The following is a 10,825-nucleotide window of genomic DNA, read 5'->3' as shown; positions in this document are numbered from 1 at the left end:
GCCAGCATCTGCTTCTGGTGAGAGCCTGGGGAAGCTTCCAGTCATGGTGGAAGCTGAAGGGGAGCAGCCATGTCACATGGCAAGAGAGGAAGAAACAGAGAGATGCCAGGCTCTTTTAAACAACCATCTCTCGCGTGAACTAATAGTGTGAGAACTCACTCTTTACCGAAAGGACAGCACCAAGCCACTCATGAGGGACTTGCCCCATGACAAACACCTCCCACCAGGCCCCACCTCCAACACTGGGAATCACAATTTAACATGAGATTTGGAGAGGACAAATATGCAAACTCTTTTAGTATCAGTCACTATTTTTCCTTTTGTGGTGAGAACATTTAAGAGCAACTGTCTGAGCAAATTTCAAGTTTCCAATGCAGTATATAGTTACCATGTTGTACTTTAGGTCTCCAAAAATATTCATCTTATATAACTGACATTTTGTACCCTTTAACCAACTTCTTCCTATTTCTCCCACTCCCAATCCCAACCCCTGGCAACCACCATTCTGGTCTCTGCTTCTATGAGTTCAACTTTTTTGTATTTCACGTATAGGTGAGATCATGTAGTATTTGTCTTTCTGTGGTTATTTCACGTAGCATAATGTCCTCCAAGTTCACCCAGTTGTCATAAATAGCAGAATTTTCTTCTTTTTAAAGGATGAATAATTTTTCATTATATAAGTACATATACCTGTACACATACATATATATGATACAATATGTATGTATATGTACATAACACATATGTATGTATACATACATAACACATATTGTATCATGTATATGTACGTGTACAGGTATACATACATGTACAATGGAAAATTATAGTATGTACATACGAGAGAGAAACATTTTTTTTATCCATCAGTGGACACTTAGATTGATTCCATATCTTGGCAATTGTCCATGATGTTGCAATGAACATAGGAGTGCAGATATCTCTTCAATATAACAATTTCATTTCTTTTGGATGTATATCCAGAAGTGAGACTGCTGGGTCATATGGTAATTTGTTTTAATTTTTTTGAGGAACCTCTATACTGTTTTCCATTATGGCTATACTAATTTATACTCCTACCAACAGTATGGAAGAGTTCCCTTTTCTCCACATTCTCCCTCACACTTGTTCTTTTTATTGTTTTTTTTTTTTTTTTTTTTTTTTTTTTTTTTTTTTTTTGAGACGGAGTCTCGCTCTGTCGCCCAGGCTGGAGTGCAGTGGCGGGATCTCGGCTCACTGCAAGCTCTGCCTCCCGGGTTCACGCCATTCTCCTGCCTCAGCCTCCCAAGTAGCTGGGACTACAGGTGCCCGCCACTACGCCCGGCTAATTTTTTGTATTTTTAGTAGAGACGGGGTTTCACCGTTTTAGCTGGGATGGTCTCAATCTCCTGACCTCGTGATCCGCCCGCCTCGGCCTCCCAAAGTGCTGGGATTACAGGCGTGAGCCACCGCACCTGGCCTTTATTGTTTTTATAATAACCAGTCTAATAGGTATGAGGTGATATCTCATTGTGGCTTTAATTTGCATTTCCCTTATGACAGTGATGTTAAACATTTTCTCATATACCCATTGGCTATTCATATGTCTTCATTTGAGAAATACCTATTCAGGTCTTTTGACGATTTTAAAATCAGTACATTTGTTTTCTTGTTATTGAATTGTTTAAGTTCCTTATATCTTTTGGATATTTACTCCTTATCAGATGTATGGTTTGCAAGTACTTTCTTCCAATCTTTACGTTGTCTCTTCATTCTGTTGACTGTTTTCTTTGGTGTGCAAAAGCTTTTTAGTTTGATAGAATCCCATTTGCCTATTTTTGATTTTACTGTCTGCTTTTGGGGTTATTTCTGTTTGTCTTTCACTGAGATTTTTAAATGTGTAGACTACATTAATAATATTATTTGAGTACTTTTTTTCTGATCCTTTTCCCTTGCCTCTCTGTCTGGTACTTCCATCACACACATATTGGTTTCCTTAATGCTGTTTTACATTTCTCTGAAGTTCTGTTCAATTTTCTTCATTCTTTTTTCTCTTTCTGCTCTTGCCTTGCATAATCTCTATTGATCTATCTTTAAGTTTGTTGATTCTTTCATCTGCCACTTCAAATCTTCTGTTGATCCCTTTTAGTAAATTTTTATTTCACTTTTTGTGCTTTTCTATTCTTAAATTTTAATTTTTAAATAAATTATATTTTTTATATTCTCTATTTGATAAGACAATGTCCTTATACCTTTCTATTCTTTTTAAAGCATGATTTCCTTTAGCTCTGTTAACATATTTATGACAGCTACTCTGAAGTCATCGTTAACTTTATTTAACAAATTTGTTAAGTTTTCAAAATTTATTAAGTATAATATCTTGCCATCTCACAGTTTCTGTTGCCTGATTGTTTTTTTCTTTCTTCTTTTTTCCCCTGTGCATGAGTCATACTTTCCTGTTTCTTTGCATGTCTCATAATTTTTTATTGTTGCCGAAAACTAGCTATTTAAAATAATATTAATATATTGTAGTAATTCTGGATTCTGATCCTCTGCCAGAGGCTTATTGTTATTGTTTACTTGTTTCTTTGTTTAATGACTTGACTGGACTATTTTCGTGGTCTATTTTCCCTGATAGGAAGTCTCTGGTTTTGTTCCTCAGAGGGCACCGCATTGGACTTGCACATAGTCACCTGGATTGACAATGGTTTCAGCACGGCTTTTTACTGTTTCTTATTGTGAGGCTTTCCCAGAGGCTGTCTGCCTCTGTTGTTATCACAACCAGATGTTAGGCTTCACTAATTGTCAGCTGATTTCTCTTTTGTTTCCAACAAAGCCCTGCAACATAAATTGTTCCACCATCTTATCCAATTTAGGTAAGCCTCTTTATAGGAATAATTTTTGACTCCAGTCTTTGAGGTTTGTTCCAGTCCCTGGAGACATTTTCTTAACTATCCCTTTTTGTGGTTCTCTCTGGTAAACAAACAAACCTAGAGTTTAGCTCAAAGCTCTCAAGGAGGTACTAGCTCCACTTAAGCGCTTATCAACGAAATGTCCATTGCTTTTGAGAACACCTTTAGGCTTGCATTTTCCCACTTCTTCTAAATAAAGACAATTCCTTTATAAAGAGCTTTAGAGCTCTCTGTCCTTATAAGCTGCCTCTGCCCCTGGGTGAAATTTCTGAGCCACTGCTCCAGAGCTGGGTTCAAGGACCATGGTCTGCTTCCCTTGGAGTGACAGCCCTGCTTTATGTGCAGGATGCTAGATAGACGTGGTAGCCTCTGGGCTTCTTGGCTTGTCTCTCCCAGTGTGGAACCTCCACCTTAAGAGAAAGCTGGGTGACAGCAATTGGGCCCTGGAATTCTCAGTCTGATACACCTGGGATAGAATATCCACCCTACAAGTGGGGCTGTGTGGCAGAAGGGAGTCCCACTCTTTCTGTAGTATTCACTTGGAAGTTAGCCTCTATAATATGAAACTCGGGGGATGAAAGGTGCCAGTGGCCTACTTCTCCTGGGGGTGGTAGCAGCTTTAACTGGGGATTTAGTGTCTTCTTGGCCACACCCACCCAGAGATCCCATCACAATGAGCTGGCTGGGAGAGAAGGAAGGAAGTTGTGACTCAAGTGCTGCAGACTCTCATTATTCTTGAAAAAAATAAATGTAGTTGGAACTAGCTGATGTAATCAGTATCTGGTTTCTCTCCCCCCATCTTGGCTTCTTCAGTATTACCTGATAGTTGCCAATTCAACAAGAGCCAGTTTCACTGCAATTACCTCAGGGAGCCAGGAAGCACACAGAAGAACTTTCCTTATGGTGCTAATTTGAACACAAATTAGAAACAAGTAAATTAAAATTAAATCATTAAAAGGGTTGAGGTTCCAGGATGGCCGAATAGGAACAGCTCCAGTCTGCAGCTCCCAGCATGAGCAACGCAGAAGACAGGTGATTTCTGCATTTCCAACTGAGGTACTGGGTTTATCTCACTGGGACTTGTCAGACAGGGGGTGCAGCTCACACAGCAGGGTGGGGCATTGCCTCACCTGGGAAGCACAAAGGGTCAGGGAATTCCCTTTCCTGGCAAAGGGAAGCTGTGACAGATGGTACCTGGAAAATCGGGATGCTCCCACCCTAATACTGTGATTTTCCAATGGCCTTGACAAACGGCACACCAGGAGATTGTATCCTGTGCCAGGATCAGAGGGTCCCACGACCACGGAGCCTCACTCACTGCTAGCACAGCAGTCTGAGATCAAACTGCAAGGCAGCAGTGTGGCTGGGGGAGGGGCGTCTGCCATTGCTGAGGCTTGAGTAGGTAAACAAAGTGGCCAGGAAGCTCGAACTGGGTGGAGCCCACCACAGCTCAAGGAGGCCTGCCAGCCTCTGTAGACTCCACCTCTGGGGGCAGGGCATAGCTGAACAAAAAGCAGCAGAAACTTCTGCAGACTTAAACGTCCCTGTCTGACAGCTATGAAGAGGGTAGTGATTCTCCCGGCATGAAGTTTAAGATCTGAGAATGGACAGACTGCCTCCTCAAGTTGATCCCTGACTCCCGAGTAGCCTAACTGGGAGACATCTCCCAGTAGGGGCTGACTGACACCTCACACAGCTGGGTGCCCCTCTGAGACAAAGCTTCCCGAAGAACGATCAGGCAGCAACATCTGCCATTCTGCAATATTTGCTGCTCTGCAGCCTCCACTGGTGATACCCAGACAAACAGGATCTGGAGTGGACCTCCAGCAAATTCCAACAGACCTGCAGCTGAGGGTCCTCACTGTTAGAAGGAAAACTAACAAACAGAAAGGACATCCACACCAAAACCCCATTGGTATGTCACCATCATCAAAGACCAAAGGTAGATAAAACCACAAAGATGGGGAGAAACCAGAGCAGAAAAGCTGAAAATTCTAAAAATCAGAGTGCCTCTTCTCCTCCAAAGGAATGCAGCTCCTTGACAACAACGGAACAAAGCTGGACGGAGAATGACTTTGATGAGTTGAGAGAAGAAGGCTTCAGACAATTGGCAATAACAAACTTCTCCAAGCTAAATGAGGAAGCTCAAACCCATCGCAAAGAAGCTAAAAACCTTGAAAAATGATTACACGAATGGCTAACTAGAATAAACAGTCTAAATAAGTCCTTAAATGACCTGATGGAGCTGAAAACCATGGCACGAGAACTATATGACACATGCAAAAGCTTCAGTAGCTGATTTGATCAAGTGGAAGAAAGGGTATCAGTGACAGAAGATCAAATGAACGAAATGAAGTGAGAAGAGAAGTTTAGAGAAAAAAGAGCAAAAAGAAACAAACAAAACCTCCAAGAAATATGGGACTATGTGAGAAGATCAGATCTACCTCTGACTGGTGTACCTGAAAGTGATAGGGAGAATGGAACGAAGTTGGAAAACACTCTGCAGGATATTATCCAGGAGAACTTCCCCAACCTAGCGAGGCAAGCCAACATTCAAATTCAGGAAATAGAACGCCACAAAGATACTGCTCGAGAAGAGCAACTCCAATACACATAATTGTCAAATTCACCAAACTTGAATCAAAGGAAAAAATGTTAAGGGCAGCCAGAGAGAAAGGTCGGGTTACCAACAAAGGGAAGCCCATCAGACTAACAGCAGATCTCTCAGCAGAAACTCTACAAGCCAGAAGAGAGTGGGAGCCAATATTCAACATTCTTAAAGAAAAGAATTGTCAACCCAGAATTTCATATACAGCCAAATTAAGCTTCATAAGTGAAGGAGAAATAAAATCCTTTACAGACAGGCAAAGGCTGTGAGACTTTGTCACCGCCAGGCCTGCATTACAAGAGCTCCTGAAGGAAGCACTAAACATGGAAAGGAATAACTGGTACCAGCCACTGCAAAAACATGCCAAATTGTAAAGACCATAGATGCTAAGAAGAAACTGCGTCAACTAATGAGCAAAATAACCAGCTAACATAATAATGACAGGATCAAATTCACACATAACAATATTAACCTTAAATGTAAATGGGCTAAATACTCCAATTAAAAGACACAGATTGGCAAATTGAATAAAGAGTCAAGACCCATCAGTGTGCTGTATTCAGGAGACACATCTCATGTGCAGAGACACACATAGGCTCAAAATAAAGGGATGGAGGAAGAGCTACCAAGCAAATGGAAAACAAAAAAAAGCAGGGGTTGCAATCCTAGTCTCTGATAAAACAGACTTTAAACCAACAAAGATTGAAAGAGACAAAGAAGACCGTTAAATAATGGTAAAAGGATCAATTCAACAAGAAGAGCTAACTATCCTAAATATATATGCACCCTATACAGGAGCACCCAGATTCATAAAGCAAGTTCTTAGAGGCCTACAAAGAGACTTAGACTCCCACACAATAATAATGGGAGACTTTAACACCCCACTGTCAACATTAGACAGATCAACGAGACAGAAAGTTAATGAGGATATCCACGAATTGAACTCAGCTCTGCCCCAAGTGGACCTAATAGACATCTACAGAACTCTCTATCCCAAATCAACAGAATATACATTCTTCTCAGCACCACATCGCACTTATTCCAAAATTGACCACATAGTTGGAAGTAAAGCACTCCTCAGCAAATGTAAAAGAACAGAAATTATAACAAACAGTCTCTCAGACCACTGTGCAATCAAACTAGATCTCAGGATTAAGAAACTCACTCAAAACCGCTCAACTACATGGAAAATGAACAACCTGCTCCTTAATGACTACTGGGTACATAACGAAATGAAGGCAGAAATAAAGATGTTCTTTGAAACGAATGAGAACAAAGACACAACATACCAGAATCTCTGGGACACATTTAAAGCAGTGTGTAGAGGGAAATTTATAGCACTAAATGCCCACAAGAGAAAGCAGGAAAGATCTAAAATGGACACCTTAACATCACAATTAAAAGAACTAGAGAAGCAAGAGCAAACACATTCAAAAGCAAGCAGAAGGCAATAAATAACTAAGATCAGAGCAGAACTGAAGGAAATAGAGACACAAAAAACCCTTCAAAAAATCAATGAATCCAGGAGCTGGTTTTTTGAAAAGATCAATAAAATTGATAGACTGCTAGCAAGACTAACAAAGAAGAAAAGAGTGAAGAATCAGATAGATGCAATAAAAAATGATAAAGGGGATATCAAGACCAATCCCACAGAAATACAAACTACCATCAGAGAATACTATAAACACCTCTACGCAAATAAACTAGAAAATCTAGAAGAAATGGATAAATTCCTGGACACATACACCCTCCCAAAACTAAACCAGGAAGAAGTTGAATCCCTGAATAGACCAATAACAGGCTCTGAAATTGAGGCAATAATTAATAGCCTAGCAACCAAAAAAAGTCCAGGACCAGACGGATTCACAGCCAAATTCTACCAGAGGTACAGACAGGAGCTGATACTATTCCTTCTGAAACTATTCCAATCAATAGAAAAAGACGGAATCCTCCCTAATTCATTTTATGAGGCCAGCATCATCCTGATACCAAAGGCTGGCAGAGACACAACAAAAAAAGAGAATTTTAGACCAATATCCCTGATGAACATCGATGCAAAAATCCTCAATGAAATATAGGCAAACTGAATCCAGCAGCACATCAAAAAGCTTATCCACCACGATCAAGTTGGCTTCATCCCTGGGATGCAAGGCTGGTTCAACATACACAAATCAATAAACGTAATCCATCATATAAACAGAACCAAAGACAAAAACCACATGATTATCTCAATAGATGCAGAAAAGGCCTTTGACAAAATTCAACAGCCCTTCATGCTAAAAACTCTCAATAAACTAGGCATTGATGGGACATATCTCAAAATAATAAGAGCTATTTATGACAAACCCACAGCCAATATCATACTGAATGGGCAAAAACTGGAAGCATTCCCTTCGAAAACTGGCACAAGACAGGGATGCCCTCTCCCAGCACTTCTATGCAACATAGTGTTGGAAGTTCTGGCCAGAGCAATCAGGCAAGAAAAAGAAATAAAGCATTTTCAATTAGGAAAGGAGGAAGTCTAATTGTCTGTGTTTGCAGATGACATTATTGTATATTTAGAAAACCGCATTGTCTCAGCCCCAAATCACCTTAAGCTGATAAGCAACTTCAGCAAAGTCGCAGGATACAATATCAATGTGCAAAAATCACAAACATTCCTATACACCAATAACAGACAAACAGAGAGCCAAATTAGGAGTGAACTCCCATTCACAATTGCTACAAAGAGAATAAAATACCTAGGAATCCAACTTACAAGGGATGTGAAGGACCTCTTCAGGGAGAACTACAAACCACTGCTCAAAAAAAATAAAAGAGGACACAAACAAATGGAAGAACATTCCATGCTCATGGATAGGCAGAATCAATATTGTGAAAACGGCCATACTGCCCAAGGTAATTTATAGATTCAATGCCGTCCCCATCAAACTGCCAATGACTTTCTTCACAGAATTGGAAAAAACTACTTTAAAGTTCATATGGAACCAAAAAAGAGCCCGCATTGCCAAGACAATCCTAAGCCAAAAGAACAAAGCTGGAGGCATCACACTACCTGACTTCAAACTATACTACAAGGCTACAGTAACCAAAACAGCATGGTACTGGTACCAAAACAGAGATAGAATAGAGCCCTCAGAAATAATACCACAGATCTACAACTATCTGATCTTTGACAAACCTGACAAAAACAAGAAATGGGGAAATGAGTCCCTATTTTATAAATGGTGCTGGGAAAACTGGCTAGCCATATGTAGAAAGCTGAAACTGGATCCCTTCCTTAGACCTTATACAAAAATTAATTCAAGATGGATTAAAGACTTAAATTTTAGACCTAACACCATAAAAACCCTATCAGAAAACCTAGGCAATACCATTCAGAACATAGGCATGGACAAGGACTTCATGTCTAAAACACCAAAAGCATTGGCAACAAAAGCCAAAATAGACAAATGGAATCTAATTAAACTAAAGAGCTTCTGCACAGCAAAAGAAACTATCAGAGTGAACAGGCAACCTACAGAAAGGGAGAAAATTTTTACAATCTACCCATCTGACAAAGGGCTAATATCCAGAATCTACAAAGAACTTAAACAAATTTACAAGAGAAAATCAAACAACCTTATCAAAAAATGGGCAAAGGATATGAACAGACGCTTCTCAAAGGAAGACATTTATGCAGCCAACAGACACATACATGAAAAAATGCTCATCATCACTGGACATCAGAGAAATGCAAATCAAAACCACAATAAGATACCATCTCACACCAGTTAGAATGGCGATCATTAAAAATTCAGGAAACAACAGGTGCTGGAGAGGATGTGGAAAAATAGGAACGCTTTTACACTGTTGGTGGGACTGTAAACTAGTTCAACCATTGTGGAAGATAGTGTGGCGATTCCTCAAGGATCTAGAACTAGAAATACCATTTGACTGAGTCATTCCATTACTGGGCATATACCCAAAGGATTATAAATTATGCTGCTACAAAGACACATGCACATGTATGTTTATAGCAGCACTATTCACAATAGCAAAGACTTGGAACCAACCCAAATGTCCATCAATGACAGACTGGATTAAGAAAATGTGGCACATATACACCATGGAATACTATGCAGCTATAAAAAAGGATGAGTTCATATCCTTTGTAGGGACATGGATGAAGCTAGAAACCATCATTCTCAGCAAACTATCACAAGGACAGAAAATCAAACACCGCATGTTCTCACTCATAGGTGGGAATTGAACAATGAGAACACTTGGACACAGGGTGGGGAACATCACATACTGGGGCCTGTCATGGAGTGGGGTAGGGGGTAGGGATGGCATTAGGAGATATACCTAATGTAAATGACGAGTTAACAGGTGCAGCACACCAACATGGCACATGTATACATATGTAACAAACCTGCACATTGTGCATATGTACCCTAGAACTTAAAATATAATAATAGTAATAATAATAAATTAAATCATTAAAAGAAATAAAGAAAAAAAAATAAATGTAATAGGTTTTCTTGAATACATATTTATTTGTTTTCTGTATGACTTTATGACAATTTTCAGAGACTTTAAGTAGTTTTTTTTTTACACATTGTTAACAGTTATGGATGATTGTTTGTTTGTTTGTTTGTTTTGCTTTTGAGGGGGAGTCCACAGAACTCATGTGGCCACTGCAGAAATTATCTTCCTTCAGAATTTGCAGAGCAGGATTGGATTCCCAAACAAGTTATTTTAAAGTCACTACTTTTAAAAGTCAACAGCTTTCTCCTCTCCTTTTTCCTGATAGTTGGAACTAATGCATTTCTTCAATTCTCTAGATTCCAGATGGCTCATATTCTTTTGATCCTCCTTGTGTGAACAAAAATCACTGTATTTAAGTAGTTTGCATAGAAATAATTGGCTCCTTATCTCATGTACTTCCTAATCAACACTTCATTCCAGCAAGGCTTCCTGTGGAGCACAATGAAAGAAGGAATCCACATCCAAGAGTGACTGATTTTATCTGAGTCTAAAGTAAAATAAAACACCATATATGTCACAGAAAAAGGAAACTGACTATCTTCTGAGGGGATATTAGGGCAAGTTTTGAGGGACAAACTCTGGATGCAACACAAATGACTTTGCAATCAGAATCATCTCAGAGATGGGTAAAGGGAATAGTTAGAAAAATATTTCATAATCTTAGCAAATACCACTTTTTACTCTTTTATTCAGTGAATTTAAACTTAAATTCAGTAATATATGTGAATTAATAATTCTAGTTAAAGCAGGTTTATGAAATCAATTATGAATACAATTTGCTACTTGGATAATTATTTGC

General features: G+C 39.4%; 1 annotated feature.

Annotated features, from left to right (window-relative positions):
• Window positions 2,919-4,118: an enhancer, noted in NCBI's record as "BRD4-independent group 4 enhancer chr13:32212414-32213613 (GRCh37/hg19 assembly coordinates)". NCBI's record gives its function as "activates an origin of replication core promoter dependent on BRD2, P300/CBP, MED14 and CDK7 cofactors, and independent of BRD4, by STARR-seq in HCT116 cells {active_cell/tissue: HCT116}" and the evidence as "EXISTENCE:reporter gene assay evidence [ECO:0000049][PMID:35650434]".

Source organism: Homo sapiens, chromosome 13 (genome assembly GCF_000001405.40).
Source record: "Homo sapiens chromosome 13, GRCh38.p14 Primary Assembly".
In the NCBI taxonomy this organism is placed as follows: Eukaryota; Metazoa; Chordata; class Mammalia; order Primates; family Hominidae; genus Homo; species Homo sapiens.
Note: the sequence above shows the minus strand (reverse complement) of the source record. Positions and strands in the feature narration are given on the sequence as shown.